Source organism: Homo sapiens, chromosome 17, assembly GCF_000001405.40.
Source record: "Homo sapiens chromosome 17, GRCh38.p14 Primary Assembly".
Classification (NCBI taxonomy): Eukaryota; Metazoa; Chordata; class Mammalia; order Primates; family Hominidae; genus Homo; species Homo sapiens.
Window position 1 is genome coordinate 57,930,814 of NC_000017.11, and position 17,181 is coordinate 57,947,994.

The window sequence follows — 17,181 nt, forward strand, 5'->3', positions numbered from 1 at the left end:
AAAGAGCCACAAACAGTCCAACTCCAAAGGGGAAATGGTCCCCATTTCCTGCAGGTAACCTTCTCATGACCTGCTCTACTCCCTGGAAATTCTTGACACTAAAGGACACTAAAGACCTTCTTCCTTAGTGCCAACCTCAGTCTCTCCTAGTTCCATTTCTGGCACAAGGACTGAATGACTTATTAAAGGAGCTGGCCGGGTGTGGTGGCTCCTGTCTGTAATCCCAGCACTTAAGGAAGCTGAGACAGGCAGATTACTCGAGCTCAGGAGTTCGAGACCAGTCTGGGCAACATGGCAAAACAGGGTCTCTACAAAAAATACAAAAATTAGCTGGAGGTGGTGGCACACACCTATAATCTCAGTTACTTGGGGGCTGAAGTGTGGGATCATCTGAGCCTGGGAAGTCGAGGCTGCAGTGAGCTGTGTTCACACTCCAGCCTGGGTGACTAAGTGACATCCTGTCTCAAAAAAAAGAAAGAAAGAAAAAAGAAACAAACAAAAAAAGAGGGAGAGGTACAATTCGCAGGAAAAACCCCAGATCTCCCATTCATTCCGGGCAGTCGCTCATTCATTCAAAAACACTGATGAAGCCACTGCCACATGCCGGGCACTGTCAGGAAGTGGGCATAGAGGCACAGGCTGGGGCCTTCTCCTTACCCTCCTCTAAAGAAGTGGGGAATAAGCAAAAAAGGGGTCATGAGGGCATTAACTAAGTCAAAGGGCACTGCTGTTCCTGCAGTGGGGGGAAAGAGAGTTCCTGGGCAGAAGCTCTCACATATGCATGGACTCAGGGAAAGCCAGTCCGAGGGTGAGACTGGGTATTCAAGTTGATGGTGGCTGACAGATCTCCTTCTCTTTACTCACACAGGGCCAAGAAAGGCCTGAGGGTTAGGAACACACAAAGGAACACAGTCAGAGGGACTTCATGTCCCAACCAAAGGTGTCTCAATAAGACACAGTCCCGAATCCAGGGAGGATCCGGCTGAAAAGCCTCCTCTGGATTGCAGAGGACTCCCGTGAAACCACGAGCCTCTTTCTCCTTTGCAAAAATCAAATCGTATTCTCCCACCTCCAAACCCTGCCATGTGCTGCTTCCCTACACGATGCCCCCACCCTGCTCCTCTCACCCACATGTGTCCTTCCCTCTCTCAGAATTCTGCTTAAAACGCATCTCTAGGCTGGGAGTGGTAGCTCATGCCTGTAATCCCAGCACTTTGGCAGGCTGAGGCAGGCACATCGCCTGAGGTTAGGAGTTCGAAACCAGCCTGGCCAACACGGTGAAATCCCGTCTCCACTAAAAACACACACACACACACAAAATAGCTGGGTGTCGTGGTACATGCCTGTAATCCCAGCTACTCGGAAGGCTGAGGCACAAGAATCTCTTGAACCCGGGAGGTGGAGGTTGCAGTGAGCCGAGATCGCGCGACAGCACTCCAGCCTGGGCAACAAAGTGACACTGTGTCTCAAAAAAAAAAAAAAAAAAAAAAGGCCAGGCATGGTGGCTCACGCCTGTAATCCCAGCACTTCAGGAGGCCGAGATGGGCAAATCACGAGGTCAGGAGATCGAGACCATCCTGGCTAACATGGTGAAACCCCATCTCCACTAAAAATACAAAAAAATTAGCCGGGCATGGCAGCGGGTGCTGTAGTCCCAGTTACTCGGGAGGCCGAGGCAGGAGAATGTTGTGAACCCAGGAGGCAGAGCTTGCAGTGAGCAGAGATCACGCCACTGCACTCCAGCCTGGGTGACAGAGCAAGACTCTGTCTCAAAAAAAAAAAAAAAAAAAAAAAAAAAAGTCTGTTGGAGGGCCAAGGTGGTTGGATCATTTGAGGTCAGGAGTTCCAGATCAGCCTGGCCAACATGGTGAAACCCCATCTCTACTAAAAATACAAAAATTAGCTGCGCGTGGTGGCAGGCTCCTGTAATCCCAGCTACTTGGGAGGCTGAGGCAGGAGAATTGCTTGAACCCAGGAGGCAGAGGTTGCAGTGAGCCGAGATTGTGCCACTGCACTCTGGCCTGGGCAACAAGAGCAAAACTCTGTCTTAAAAAAAAAAAAAAGTCTGGTCCAGGCGCTAGAGCAAGGGTTCTCAACCTTAGGCACTATTGACATTTGGGCTAGAGAGTAAGGGGCTGTCCTGTATATTGGAAGATGTTGAGCAGCATCCCTGGCCTCTACCCACAAATGCCAGTAGCAACATCACCCCCAGTTGTAACACTGCCAATGTCTCCTGGGGGGCCAGATGATCCCCACTTGTGAACCACTGCACTAGATAGATGGTTCTCAACCCTGGCTGCCCAATAGAAACACCTGGGCAATGTATAAAATTTACCCCTGCCTGGGCCCCACCCAGCACTAGCAGAATCAGACAGCCTCACGGGCAGCAAGGGGGGAGAACCACTGAACAGAGCTGCTCTGGACATTTTGGATCTCTTAGCCAGTCTAAGATTCTACAAGTAAACAACAATGTCTGTAACTTTATATAGCCTTGATGTTCTAACGTGTTGGTCGGTTCCTCCATTAGACCAAATCTCTCCAGAAGCAGGAACCATATCTTCTTTTTCCCTGTCTCCACAAAGCTGTATGCAGTGCCTCTTATTTTATACTAATCAAAAAAGCTGGGCAAGTTCATGAGCCCCCCTCCACCCCAATTTCAGATGAAGAAGCCACTTTCATCTCCCCCAGTTCAACAGCATATGACAAGGGAGAATTTGCAAAGGGAGGAAGGGACAGAAGAGATGGGAATCCAGGAGGACCCAGCCACCTGATCTAGCCTTGGAACGAGACTGCTCTCTGCCAGCTGTGGGGAAAGCTTGCTGAGTTGCAGGGATGCAGGGCTAGGTATACTCATACTTCCTCAGCCCCACCTCTCCCGGCCAGACTGGAAGGCATGAAGCTGGGGTCTTCAGCAGTAAACTCTAGTCTACCAGATCGGATGCTGCATTCCCCAGGCCGACAGTGACTCGAGAACAAATGAACACAGGCCCAGAACACCTCTATTTGGAGCCCGACTTATGGGCTGGGATCTTTCTCCCTACACCTCCTTCAAGACTCCCCAGGAGCATCTGGGGACCTGGCTGAGAGAGGCCAGCCCAATGTTAACAGATGCAGTCATATCTGCCTCCTGCTCCCCTCCCCATCCTGCTCACCACCTCTTCAGACAAGGCAAAGAGGAATGCAGTGTCAAGAAAGAATATTTAAAGCCAAGGTGGGAGGACTGCTTGAGCCCAGGAGTTTGAGACCAGCCTGGGCTGGGCAACATAGTGAGACCTCTTCTCTACAATATAAAAATAAAGGCCAGGTGCGGTGGCTCACACCTCTAATCCCAACACTTTGGGAGGCCAAGGCAGGAGGATCATGAGGTCAGGAATTCAAGACCAGCCTGGCTAGTATGGTGAAAGCCCGTCTCTACTAAAAATACAAAAATTAGCCAGGCGTGGTGACACGTGCCTATAGTCCCAGCTACTCGGGAGGCTGAGGCAGGAGAATTGCTTGAACCCAGGAGTCGGAGGTTGCAGTGAGCCAAGATCACACCACTGCACTCCAGCCTGGGAAACAGAGCAAGACTCCGTCTCAAAAATAAAAATAAAAATAGCCGGACATGGTGGTGCACACCTGTAGTCTCAGCTACTTGGGAGGCTGAGGCAGGGGTATAGCTTGAGCCCACAAATTCCAGGTTATAGTGAGCCATTACTGTGACACTGTACTCCAGCCTAGGCAATATAGCAAGACCCTGTCTCTCTAAAAAAAAAAAAAAAAAAAAAAAAAAAGGAAAGAAAGACAATATTTGGATATGAACCCCTATCTTTTTTAAGAAGTGGAAGTGCATTTGCTATCTACTCATTCCTTAACAGATACATAGAGAATACTTAGAGGGGCAGACATGCCATCCTTCCCGATTGTTTTTTTGAGACAGAATCTCACTCTGTTGCCCAGGCTGGCATGCAGTGGCGTGATTTCGGCTCACTGCAGCCTCTACCTCCCAGATTCAAACAATTCTCATGCCTCAGCCTCCCGAGTAGCTGGGATTACAGGCATGCCCCACCATGCCCAGCTAATTTTTGTATTTTTAATAGAGACAGGGTTTCGCCATGTTGCTCAGGCTGGTCTCGAACTCCTGAGCTCAGGTGATCCACCTGCCTCAGCCTCCCAAAGTGCTGGGATTACAGGCATGAGCCACCACACCCAGCCCGTTCCCCATTTTTATACTTGGGTTAAGCTCACAGACAAAATGATGGGGATAGAATCCAGGGACCAAGCTCCCCAAGACAGCAAAGGCTATTCAAGTGCCCGCAATCAGCTTTCTTACTAAAACTCACTGACTAATACACAAGAATGCAAACTGCCAATGTGTTTACCTTACATTTAATGAATGGTTTAGTGTTTTCTCTGAGATTTTACTTATTTGATATTCCATGACAACAGGATGAGCAATCCTTAAAGACCTGCTTCAGGCAGCCCTGGCTGGCTTGCTGAAATCAGTGTAGAGCAGTGAAGGCTTCCATCCTGAGTGACCAGCGTGACAGTGATTTTTTTTTTTAAGCTTCCCTCCCTTCCATTAGACACACACACACACACACACACACACAAACACACACACACACACCCTGTTGCCTAGAGACTGGACACATTCCTGGTGCTTACTCTTCTTTTCATTCTCCAGAAGCAGGAGCTTTAGAAACTGGGGCCTCCAGGAAATATGCCTGGGGCCGGGGTGAAGGGGGTCCAGGAGTGACATTTCCTCATAGCCAGGCCCGCCCCATCCCCGCTGCCCTCCCTTTCCTCCCGAGGTTTGAAAAGCCCCAGCAGGCTGGAACTGAAAGGCTTCCACAGGGAACAAAACAAGGCCCCCTTTGAAAGCCTGTGTTTACCCCGGGTGCAGCCAGGGGTTGCCATGGCCACGGTCCACCTTGGCGGGCCAGGCCCGCCTGGAGCAGCCTCAGCGCCTGGCCGTCCCACCCCAATTCCTTCCTAGGGGACCCTACTGGCACCCCTCTCCTGGGCCCCCTTGACTGCTGGAAGCATGGATTTTCATCAAGTCCCCCAAGCTGAAAACATAATCCTGGAGAGACTGAAAGAGGATTAAGCCTCCCTCTGGGGCTCCTGAGAGAAAGACCAGGGGACTTGACCAGCCCTGTCCACACCCACCTCCGCTGTTGCTGTCCTGTCTCCTGGGCCAGTGACCCACCCGCTGCTAATGAGAATGACTTATTTATGTCATTCATTATCGCTATGTCCTGGAGCCAAGCAGCATCAGGGGAGGCCAGACCAGGAGTGGGGCAAAGAGGAAAGGGAGGGTCTCTCCTCTCAGCCTCAACCTGAATCTGTCAGGCCCTGTGGGCTGCGGGAAACCACAGAGGCCTTGTGACCCAAGGACAAAAGCGGCTGAGGACATGGCAGGACAGTGTGGACTCCCAGGGCCCCTGAGTGCACAAGCCTGGCCAGGGAAGCTCAGCCCTCCCTGGCTCCACATTCCTCCTTTGGCCCTTCCCCAGGAGAAGCCAGAGGGAGCAGAGGCTCTAAATAATTCAGCCCTCCAATTGCTCTGTGGTCAGAGCTTCTTCATTTATTTTTTAACTCTCCAGGCTCCACAGTTTCGCAATGGAAGCACTCTAATCCCAGCCCTCACAACCAGGTGCCTCTCAAGCCCCCAGCCCAGGATGGCAGGGAAGGAGGCACCCAACTTCTAGGATTCTGCAGACTCATCCCTAAGGTTCAACACATCTTGAGGCCTCAGGGACAGTGGCTGGGATGCAGATGGGCAGCGGGAGGAGAGGAGGCAGTGCTGGCTCCAGGGCTGTTTCCACAGAGCATGGCACTACTGTGCTGGCAGAACTGGATTAATAGAAAGACCTGAGCCGCAACCCGGGTGAGGCTCAGATCCACCTCTGTCAGCAGCTCCACTCTCCTGCGCACTGCTCCTCTAGCCTCCTATCTATCCTTTCTCAGGGCTTCTTCCTGCACCCCCAGCCCATCCCGCCCCCATACAGCCCTCCACGTTCATTCACACTTTTTTTTTTTTTGAAACGGTGTCTCGCTGTATCACCACGCTGGAGTACAGTGGCGTGATCTCGGCTCACTGCAACCTCCGCCTCCTGGGTTCAAGCGATTCTCCTGCCTCAGCCTCCCAAGTAGCTGGAACTACAGGCATACACCACCACGTCAAGCTAATTTTTGTATTTTTAGTAGAGACAGGGTTTCACCATGTTGGCCAGGATGGTCTCCATCTTTTGACCTCGTGATCTGCCCACCTCGGCCTCCCAAAGTGCTGGGATTACAGGTGTGAGCCACCGCACCCAGCCCTCATTCTTACTCTTAAAGGGCCTGGGCACCCTGCCATGGTTCCCTGGAATCAGCCTGGCCTCAGCTTCTATTAATAATATTAGTTAACATTTGATTGCACATTCATTTCATGTGATCCTCACAGTAACCACACAAAGCAGGTACTATGGATATCCTCATTTCACAAATGAGGAAACTAAAACTCAGGGAGGTTTAGAAATCTGCCCAGAGGCCTGGCGTGGTGGCTCACACCTGTCATCCCAACACTTTGGGAAGCCGAGTTGGGAGGATCACTTGAGCCCAGGGGTTCAAGACCAGCCTGGGAAACATGGTGAAATCTCATCTCTACAAAAAATACAAAAATTAGTGAGATGTGGCAGCATGCACCGGTAGTCCCAGCTACTCAGGAGGCTGAGGCAGGAGGATGCTTGAACCTGGGAGGTCTAGGTTGCAGTAAGCCGAGACTGTGCCACTGCACTCCAGCCTGGGTGACAAAGTGAGACCCTGTCTCAAAAAAAAAAAAACAGAAAAAGAAAAAAATCTGCCTAGAGGCTGGGCACAGTGGCTCCTGCCTATAATCTCAACACTTTAGGAGATTGGTAGGATCACCAGCCTGGGCAACATAGCAAGACCCTATCTCTACAAATAATTTTTAAAATTAGTCAGGCATGGTGGTGAGTGCCTGTAGTCCCAGCTACTCAGGGAAGCTGAGGTGGGAAAACCCCTTGAGCCCAGGGGATCCAGGCTGCAGTGAGCTGTGATGGTGCTACTGCACTCCAGCTGGGACGACAGAGAGAGACCTAGTCTCAAGAAAAACTAAAAAATAAATCTAAAATTCTGCCTAGGTAGGAAATAAGCATGAGAAGCCAAAAAATAAAATAAAATAATTGTAATAAAAAATTTGTTATAATCTGCCTAAGTCACACAGAGAGTGAAGAACAAGACTCAAAGCCAGCTGCCTAATCCCAGTCTTCAGGCCTTAACTCCCATGCTATATGGACACAGGCTGCACACACAGGATCCTCAAGCCCAGAGTCACAGGCACACAGCCAGTTGAGACAGTCTAGGGACAAGGACTTTGGTCTAGGGACCAAAGTGCCATATCCGGCCTAACATCCTTTCTCCATTACACAGTTTCAAGTGTAGAAGCATCTGTATTTACGCAGGTGATAAATACACGTTTACTCTCTGGTTTATGATGTCATGGCCTAACGCCCTATAAACCTAGCTTAACCCCAGCAATGCCCTGTGCTGGCCCCGGCCCTGACTACTCCCTCCCATCCCTGCTCCATGGCCTTCCAACAAACAGCTCGCCTGCCTCCACCAAGACTTTTAAATTCTCCCTCACAGCGTTATAATCCTTCCCATGCCCCTTTAGGGCAGTACAATCTCCATGATTCCTAATGAGAGAGCTGGCAGCACCATACCAGAGCACACATATGCAATACCTGATAGTTCTCAGTGTTCTTACAGACATTACCCAGCCAGCTCAGCAACCCTGAACCAGCTAAACATGGACAACAGCTTTTTATTTTATTTTTAAATTTTATTTATTTATTATTTATTTATTTATTTATTTTTAAGACAGAGTTTTGCTCTTGTTGCACAGGCTGGAGTGCAGTGGCGCTATCTCAGCTCAGCGCAACCTCTGCCTCCCGGGTTCGAGCGATTCTCCTGCCTCAGCCTCCTGAGTAGCTGGGATTACAGGCATGTGCCACCACGCCCGGCTAATTTTATATTTTTGGTAGAGATGGGGTTTTTCCATGTTGGTCAGGCTGGTCTCGAACTTCTGACCTCAGGTGATCTGCCTGCCTCAGCCTCCAAAATGCTGGGATTACAGGCACGAGCCACCGTGCCCAGCCTTTTTTTTTTTTTTTTTTTTTTTTTGAAAAGGAGTCTCACTCTGTCACCCAAGCAGGAGTGCAATGGCATGATCCTGGCTCACTGCAACCTCCACCTTCTGGGTTCAAGCGATTCTCCTGCCTCAGCCTCCAGAGTAGCTGGGACTACAGGAGTGTGACACCATGCCTGGCTAATTTTTGTATTTTAGTAGAGACGGGCTTTCACCTTGTTGGCCAGGCTGATCTTGAACTCCTGACCTCAAGTGATCTGCCTGCCTTGGCCCCCCAAAGTGCTGGGATTGCAGGCATGAGCCACCATGCCCGGTCTAGCTTTTTATTTTTTTGAGACGAGATCTCAGTCTGGGTGAAGACTGGAGTGCAGTGGAACAATCCCGGCTCACCGCAGCCTTGAACTCCTGGGCTCAGGTGATCCTCCCACCTCAGCCTCCCAAGTAGCTGGGACTACAGGCACACATCACCACGCCCAGCTAATTTTTCAAATTATGTGTAGAGATGTGGGTGGGGGGAGAGGGTCTCACTATGTTGCCCAGGCTGGTCTCGAACTCCTGACCTCAAGTGATCCTCCCACCTTGGCCCCCCAGAGTGCTGACATTACAGGCGTGAACCATTTCGCCTGACCTGAACAGCTTCTGGACGTGTCTGGCCAGCTCATATCCCTCCTGTGAGGACCGCCTCTACTCCCATTCACAGGGGAAAGCTCCTACCCCCTGGTGCTGCGTGATCATGCCCTCCTGGCCCCAGCTGACTGGCCCAGTGGTAGACAGCTGATCCACACAAGCCCATCAGACTCTCTCCTCAGGAGTTCACATCAAGGCTCAGACACCATTCAGTAACTAAGGGTTACTGGAAAGTGGACGGGTGTATTTGGGAGCTGAGGGGCCATACCACCTGGTGCACATCCACAGCAGCAGCGGCGTCCTGCAGGTGCACCATGCAGACTCACTGAGAACAGCTGCGTCAGCCACCCCCACCACACCCCCACACACCCCCGGCACTTGGGAGACCAGGCACTTCCTCCTTTGAGTCTTCAATTCCCCTATGGCTTCAAATAGCTCGAGCTGGTTTCTGTTACTTGCCTTCAGTAGAGTCTGAACTGAGAGACAAGCTGGCATCACTATCCTCCCTGTACAGATGAGGAAAGAGGCTCTAGAGGTGACTAAATCAACATCATATAGTCAACATGTAATAAAGGAGCCGTTAAAAACCCTGCCATGTGACTCTTCTTCAGTGCCATCCCATGCCTCCTTCCCTGGATTAAAGGAAGTGGCAGGTATTCCATTTCTGTCAGTGTTTAAAAAAAAAAAAAAAAATGGTGGCACAGTAAGCGATTCAGCCAGAGGCACTCCAATGGACTGAAGCTGGAAACAAGAAATTCAAAATCCTCTCCTTTAGATCGGCAAAGACAGCTCTTCTCTCCTCTACATTTGCCAGCCTTCCTTGCAGTGAGGTCGGCCCCATGTGACCAGCTCTGGACAATGTGAATGGAAGTAACAGGTGTCAGTTTCCTCCATCTCTCTCCTCCCCTCCCGCAGTAACCTTGAAGGCCCTATATTCCAGATGATGTGGCTACAGATGGAGGTGCACTGCCTGACCTACAAGACTTTCCACGAGCAAAAAATAAACCTAGATGGTGTCAAGCCCCTGGGATGTCAGGATTTGATTATTCCTGCAGCATAATCCAGCCTCTCCTGACTAAAGCACAGGAATTTTTCAGCCTGGGCCCTTCAGCAGGATGCTGCATTCATTTGTTTAACATTCATCTGTTTAACAAATATTTCTGGAGCAACAGTGCCAGGTGCTGTCATGGGTATAATCAAGGGCACAGTAGTTTTTAAAAAAATACAATAACTACCCTTAGGAAGCACCCTATCTGGTGACTCATAAGCCCCACTTGGGACTAAAAGAAACAGTTCTACAGGTGCAAAGCAGAACTCCCACGCAGCCCCTGGCTAACCTGAGCCCCAGAGAAGCTAAGCTGCCAGGAGGCAAAGACAGCTTGTCCTAGTGACTCCAGGAGGGTGGCAGCCAAGAGTGAGTTCACACCAGGCTTTCACACCCAAGGCTCTACCAACTCTACTCCTGCCAGCCGTGTGGCTGTAGACAAGTGCTTCCCTTGCTCTGGGCGCAGACACATGGGAGAAGGCATCAAGGAGGAGTCATCAAGAGAGCAGGTGGCTGATGGAAAACAGAAGCCGCAAAAGACACCACTCATCTTCCCCACCCTCCTCTGCAGCCGAAATGTCTCCTCTGGGAATCATCTCCCTGTTTCATTTTAACTGGAAAAGTCCCCCATGACTGAGCTTTTCTCCCCCTATCCCACATAGCAGAGGACTGAGCAGAGAAGTCATTATTCTGTCAGGAACTGGTGTCTGGGTATAGTCTCCTTTCTTTATGCCAAAAGCTAGATAAAAGTTAGGTAGACAGGGTTGCCATATACAGTTATGCAGGCTGTTCACTACAACGTGCCCATCCAAAGGGGCAAATGGAGCTCAAATCCAGCCTACACTCTGCCTACCAAGCTGTGTGACCTACAGGAAGAGCACCTTCTTCTAATTCACCCAAAGGTGTCTGCTGTATGCCACAGAAGAACTGGAGCCAGGGCTTCTCCATAACAGCAAAGGGAAGTTACTATACTAACCTCTCTACTTTTGTAGATGTTTGACATTTTTCACAGTAAAAGGTTAAAACCAAAACCAAATAAACACCTCACCAAGTGAGTGGGTGTGTTACTTGGCCAGGTTACTTAACCCTCAGCCTCAGTTCCCACATCCAAAAAGACAATAATCGCTGGCTCCTAGGGTCAGTATAAGGACTAAACTAAATTACATAAGTAGCATGTTTGACATGGAGCAAGTCCTCTTACAAATGGGAACTATTAACAGTAGCCACTGCTGATGGCTGGGGCCAGGAAGGAAAACGAGGTGAATGGGGACAGAGGGACATTGTCTAAAAAAGCAAGCCTTTGGGAAATGTGTGTGGAGAAGCCAGAGTCCGAAAATAAGACCACCCTATTCATGTTCCTAAATTGAGCCTGGGGGGCAGGGCTGGTCTGAAGGAGTTCTCATGCAACCCCTTCTTCGGTGGCAGCCTTTACACTTCCCTGGGGACCCCAGGCTCGGCTCAGAATCCAAATTAAGGTCAGTGATCCACAGAAAGGCCACAAAGAGTGGCTTAGAAAAGGATGTGCTCCCGGCCTCCCGGCAAACTCAGAGAAGGGCCCGGCAGCTGGGAGGTGGAGCTGGCTGGGCTGGGAGTGCTCACATCTGAAGTCCTGAAAGAGAACAGGACTTTTCCTAAGATGTTCCAGGAGGTCAGCCATTAGCACAGAGAGGACACCTGCCACCTTCATGGGGTGCGAATGGCCCACTCACATCCCTGTAGGTCAAAAACTATTTTTGAATTGTCTAGTTTTTTTTCGTTTGTTTGTTTGGTTTGATTTGTTTTTTGAGACAGAGTCTCGCTCTGTCGCCCAGGCTGGAGTACAGTGGTGTTCTCTCAGCTCACTGCAACCTCCGCCTCCTGGGTTCAAGTGATTCTCCTGCCTCAGCCTCCCAAGTAGCTGACACTACAAGCATGCACCACCACACCCAGCTAATTTTTGTACTGTTACTAGAGATGGGCTTTCACCATGTTGGCCAGGCTGGTCTTGAACTCCTGACCTCAGGTGATCCACCCGCCTTGGTCTCCCAAAGTGCTGGTATTACAGGCGTGAGCCACCACACCCGGCCAAATTGTCTAGTTTTATGAGATGAATTTTTATGTTAATGTCTTCAAAATAATCACTGCTGCCGGGCGCTGTGGCTCACGCCTGTAATCCCAGCACTTTGGGAGGCCGAGGCGGGTGGATCACGAGGTCAGGAGATCGAGATCATCCTGGCTAACACGGTGAAACCCCGTCTCTACTAAAAATACAAAAAATTAGCCAGGCGTGGTGGCAGGTGCCTGTAGTCCCAGCTACTCGGGAGGCTGAGGCAGGAGAATGGCATGAACCCAGGAGGCGGAGCTTGCAGTGAGCCGAGATCGCGCCACTGCACTCCAGCCTGGGTGACGGAGTGAGACTCTGTCTCAAAACAAAACAAAAACAAAAATGATCACTGCTATATGTGAATTTTACCAGTAGTCTATTTTTAACGACATGCCTCCCTATTCTTTTCCCTTCAAGGCCTTAGGTTCCAGAGCCTTACCAGGATGAGAGGGCTGATGGTGACAGTGGCAGTGACCGGAAGCTGGGAGCCCTTCCCAAAGCCCCTGGAGGGAACTCACCACTAGCACGAACCGCCAAGGCCCTGGGTGCCAGCCTAGTGCCCGCCCTAGGAGACTGACATGGAAGGCTTCTGGCTTCAGTCAAATGCCATCTCACTCATTTGCCTCTCCTTTCTTTCTTTTCCAGAATTAAAGCTCATAGGATGATTCATTCTCTTATTAAATCAGCTCATGAGAAAAAGGGAAGTCACCCGAGTTCCCATCCCTCTCTCCACCAAACATAAGCCACGCTGTGGCTCATTCCCCATATGCATTTAATAGAAATGCTACCACAAGGAAGAAATTCCACTAAGAACCCCACCCTTCACCTTTCCTTTCATGTCTCAAGAATTCACCATCCATGGCAGTTTTCTAAGTTTCTAAGGCTGCCAGGGGGAGAGGTGAGTTGGAATTTAAAGATAAGTTCCCAAATAAAATGGGATAGGAGGGGAAAGAGTCACGTGGCTCTTAAATCCACATACATGCAACCCTCAAAGCAGATAGTAAAAATCCACCCCAAAAAAAATCCTTCTCTATCTCTGCCAGATCTCCTCAGCTCTGCCCCACACTTAGAAACAGCTGTTTCCCCAGAACTCCAAAAAAAACTCTCATATATTCCATCCCTCATTGTTTCCAAGACTGTGATCTGTACACTTAATCTACCTCTAGGCTCAGTTTATCCCTCCCTGGGACTGTCAAACAAGAACAGTAACAGTCAAAGAATAAGAATCCTAACGCTACAATATTGTAAATACATCTATGGACTCAGCCTCCTGGCTTTGGAGCTCAGATCCTGCCTCCTCAGCTAACTAGCAGTGTGACCTTACGCAAGTTAACTTAACCTCTCTGTGCCTCGGTCTCCTCCTGCATAAAGTGATGATACTACTGTCTCATCTAGGATTGATTACATAAATTAATATTCCCAAGATGCTTAGAAAGCTTACTGGCATATGCAGTAAGCATGCAATAAATGTTAGTTATTATTATTTATTTTTTTATATATATATATTTTTTTTTTTTTTTTTGAGACGGAGCTTCGCTCTTGTTGCACAGGCTGGTGTGCAATGGTGCGATCTCGGCTCACTGCAACCTCTGCCTCCCAGGTTCAAGTGATTCTCCTGCCTCAGCCTCCTGCGTAGCTGGGATTACAGGCATGCGCCACCACGCCCGGCTAATTTTGTATTTTTAGTAGAGACAGGGTTTCTCCATATTGGTCAGGCTGGTCTCGAACTCCCGACCTCAGGTGATCTGCCCGCCTTGGCCTCCCAAAGTGCTGGGATTACAGGCGTGAGCCACTGCGCCTGGCCATTAGCCATTATTAGACTATTACAAGAATCTTGTGCCACAGAGATTATTCTTACCAGCTCTATTTAACATATGTAGTCAATAGCCATGTGTTGTTGTGGAGTATAATAATAGATTAGCCTCAAGAAAACTATAAATTAACAAACTAAGTGACCTGCTCAGAATGACACAGCCCACACATGGCAGAGCTAAGACTGGAACTCCAGTCATCAACTCCTTTGCACACTCACACATTTCACACTTTAACACACTGTCTCCTTCAGGCATGGAGATTTGAGAAGTCCCACGGATCAGCATCAAGAACAGATTTCAATCTCTACAGAGCGACAGTATCTCCAGGAATCTTTCAAGATTCACCAAACAAAATTCATTTCCATTCGTCTTCATATTCCACGAAAACACACCAAAGCTGCCTTAGGGAGAGGGTGTCGCCCCATCAGAGGTGTCAAGGACCATGCAAGGCCAGGGGTCACACTGGCCTCAACAATGTTTCAGACAAAAACGGCTCCCTTGGGAGGCTCCGAGGCTGTCATCGATTTGCTAAAGGTCAGTACGGATCATTTGGGAATGGATTTGTGTAGGCATGGCCTAAGACACATGGACTTCTGCCAAGCCTATATATTTTTTTCAAAACATCTGCACTGTCTTCACCCTTGATAAATAGCAGCCAGGCTACAGAAATATTTCCATTACGCACAAAAGCCTGCTTTGCCACCACAACTCATTGAAATGGATGTTTCCAACTTGAGAAGAACTCTTCAATGAAAACATCTAAAAACACCCCAATCTTCCAGCAGAGGCAACCAATCTAGCATTCAGGAAACCTTTAAACACTAGTAAATAATATTTGTGGAAACAAATTCTTTGGTAGACATATGCCCCCATGCCCAAAGTCTAACTATATCTAATAAATAGGTTAAGCCCATTTCTTCTAGCTGTATTATGAACATTCATGCAAAGACATCCGCATAAACATTTTTGTAAAGGTTTTCCCATATTTCCAGAATGTGGTGAAATCTCCTTATGGCCATGCTGAAAAGAATTGGAATAAAAAGAATTTAACATTGTAGCCCTGGCTTTACCACTAAGTAGCTGTGTGATTTCACAAAATGAAAATAATAACAATAACAGCAGCAGCTAACATTTAATGAGGACTTACAATATGCAAAACATTGTGCTAGGGGCTTAATAAGTATTTGGTAGTAATTAACAATCATTATGTAATATTTTGGCCGGGCGTGGTGGCTCATACCTATAATCCCAGCACTTTGGGAGGCTGAGGTGGGCGGATCAGTTGAGGTCAGGAGTTCAAGACCAGCCTGGCCAACATGGTGAAACACTGTCTCTACTAAAAATACAAAAATTAGCTGGGCATGGGGTAATGGAGGGCGCCTGTAATCCCAGCTACTCAGGAGGCTGAGACAGGAGAATTACTTGAACCCGGGCGGGTGGAGGCTGTGGGTGACAGAGCAAGACTCCACCTCAAAAATAAAAAATAAAAAAAAAACACCAAAAAACCATTTGGTAATATTATTACTCCCACTGTATGGATCAGGAAACTAAGACTCAGAGAGATTGAGTAACTTGCCCCAAGAACACAGCAGCAACTAGCAGAGGCTGGGATGAAGCACAGGCATTCTGATTCAGTATTCTTAATTACATACCATTGGTCTTTTCAAAGCACTTAACGACCCACAACCTCAGATTCCTCCAGGAGCCAACCAAGCAAGCAGTCTTCAGAATCCTTTCCAGCTGTAAAATTCAGTGATTCTCTCTTTTCAAAATAAAATGAATTTATAACTTTGAGAAATAAAATGTAATGATGCTCTAGTACTGCTGAGGGAAGGAAACATCTGTGTATGCCTCACCCAGAACCAGTCAGGGGAGGAAAACTGCTGATTTTCTAGGGTAATGATGTCCTGTGAACCAACCAGACTGGCCTCAAGCCGTCTCAGGAAAAATGACAGCTTGAAGTTCTCAAAGGATCCACCAACATGCAAAGGTCTGCAAGTTCGCAACTATCAGTTCTCAAACTTTAATTTGACTTTTTTTTTTTTAAAGGAAACTCATATGCAAGAAAATGCTGCACCGTAGAGGCTGATCTTAAGAATGCCAGTACAAGATGTATGTTGACTCTGTGGCATGCTCACACTTGCTTTCCTTTCAGGTGTACACCTGCTCAGGGAAAATCCACCCGGCCCAGGCAATCTGTTTTAAGACTTCCCTAGCTCGAGGCTCAGTGGTCCTGTAATTGGGTGGGGGTTTTGTCCTTTGCACATCTGATATCTTCATACGCTCCCTCCTGCTCATCATCACCAGCCCGGTCTCTGGACACACAAACACGCAAGTGCTGCCTTCCCCAACTCCATCTCGGACGCATCTTCTTCCTCTCTCTGCTCAACACAGGAGTTCCCTGTTCACACACCTTGCCATTGGCTGACACAGCCAATGGTGAAACTCCCCCAGCTGACCCTCCCTGGAGCTCACTAGCTCTCTCCCAGCTGTGGGTACAGCCTGAAACCGAAACTAATCTCAGACCAGAGCAAAGTGAAATCATTTCAGGAGCCTGATCACCCTACATGACCACAGAGAGGCTTCCCCTTAACAGAGCTCCAAATCCAGCTTGCTGGTCACCAGGAGAAAAAAAAAAAAAAAAAGCTTTGCAGTGCCCTCCTAACATCAAATACTTTCTTAATGAATAGGGAATCATGGGATTAGAGGAGGAAGCAAAAGTTCTTGCCGTCGTGTTTGCTGCTGCTACTTCTCTCTTATTTGCACAAGTCTATTTCAGTTCACCCCGTGAGCTAAAGTTCACCACCCGGTATTATTTTTAAACTCATTGTCCAGCATCCGTTCATATTTGGTTCACTCTTAATCAGATTATCTTCCAAGAGCAAGCTTTGTTCTCTTCTGAGATCCCTGTAACCATCTTGCTGTAATGTGGCTGAGACTGTTATACTACATGTTTTTCGTAAATTTGAAAAACGAAGCGTTTTACTTTTGTGCTCGAGCCAGGCACGGTGGCTCACACCTGTAATCCCAGTACTTTGGGAGGCTAAGGCGAGTGGATCTCTTGAGCTCAGGAGTTCGAGACCAGCCAGGCCAACATGGTGAAACTCCATCTTTACTAAAAACACAAAAAAATTAGCTGTTTGTGATGGCGTATGTCTGTAATCCCAGCTTCTCGGGAGGCTGAGACACAAGAATCATTTGAAACTGGGAGGCAGAGGTTGCAGTGAGCTGAGATCACACCACACTGCACTCCAGCCTGGGTGAAAGAGCAAGACCCTGTCTCATAAATAAATAAATAATAAAAAATAAAAACACTTTTGTGCTTGGAACAATACAAAAGAAAAAAAGCAAAAGCCATTATGACTGAACATAATGTCAGGCCTTGATGATCCTTCAAAGAAGTATAAATGTTGAGAAGGATCCTAAACTGTGTTTTCTCTTCTTACCCTTGCCCCCAGCATACTTGTGGGCAGCT

The 17,181-nt window shown here is 48.5% G+C and overlaps 1 protein-coding gene across 5 annotated transcripts in view, besides 5 other annotated features; it reads right to left on the reverse strand.

The window, feature by feature from the left end:
* The window catches only part of CUEDC1 (CUE domain containing 1), a 94,170-nt gene that overhangs the window by 69,571 nt on the left and 7,418 nt on the right, over positions 1 to 17,181 (reverse strand). Inside the window, exon 1 of one of the 5 annotated variants that reach the window (XM_047436060.1) lies at positions 15,359 to 16,079. The exons of the other annotated variants lie outside the window; for them this stretch is intronic. The gene's annotated coding sequence lies outside the window, so the exon portion shown is untranslated. Of the gene's footprint in view, positions 1 to 15,358; positions 16,080 to 17,181 lie in introns of those variants that run through there. 5 annotated transcript variants of the gene reach the window in all.
* Positions 10,479 to 10,538: an enhancer, noted in NCBI's record as "active region_12453". NCBI's record gives its function as "activates an Ori minimal core promoter by ATAC-STARR-seq in GM12878 lymphoblastoid cells {active_cell/tissue: GM12878}" and the evidence as "EXISTENCE:reporter gene assay evidence [ECO:0000049][PMID:35858748]".
* Positions 10,759 to 10,908: an enhancer, noted in NCBI's record as "active region_12454". NCBI's record gives its function as "activates an Ori minimal core promoter by ATAC-STARR-seq in GM12878 lymphoblastoid cells {active_cell/tissue: GM12878}" and the evidence as "EXISTENCE:reporter gene assay evidence [ECO:0000049][PMID:35858748]".
* Positions 15,995 to 16,289: an enhancer, noted in NCBI's record as "tiled region #4150; HepG2 Activating non-DNase unmatched - State 1:Tss". NCBI's record gives its function as "activates a minimal TATA promoter and a strong SV40 promoter by Sharpr-MPRA in HepG2 cells {active_cell/tissue: HepG2}" and the evidence as "EXISTENCE:reporter gene assay evidence [ECO:0000049][PMID:27701403]".
* Positions 15,995 to 16,344: a biological region, named in NCBI's record as "Sharpr-MPRA regulatory region 4150".
* Positions 16,245 to 16,344: a silencer, noted in NCBI's record as "silent region_8752". NCBI's record gives its function as "represses an Ori minimal core promoter by ATAC-STARR-seq in GM12878 lymphoblastoid cells {active_cell/tissue: GM12878}" and the evidence as "EXISTENCE:reporter gene assay evidence [ECO:0000049][PMID:35858748]".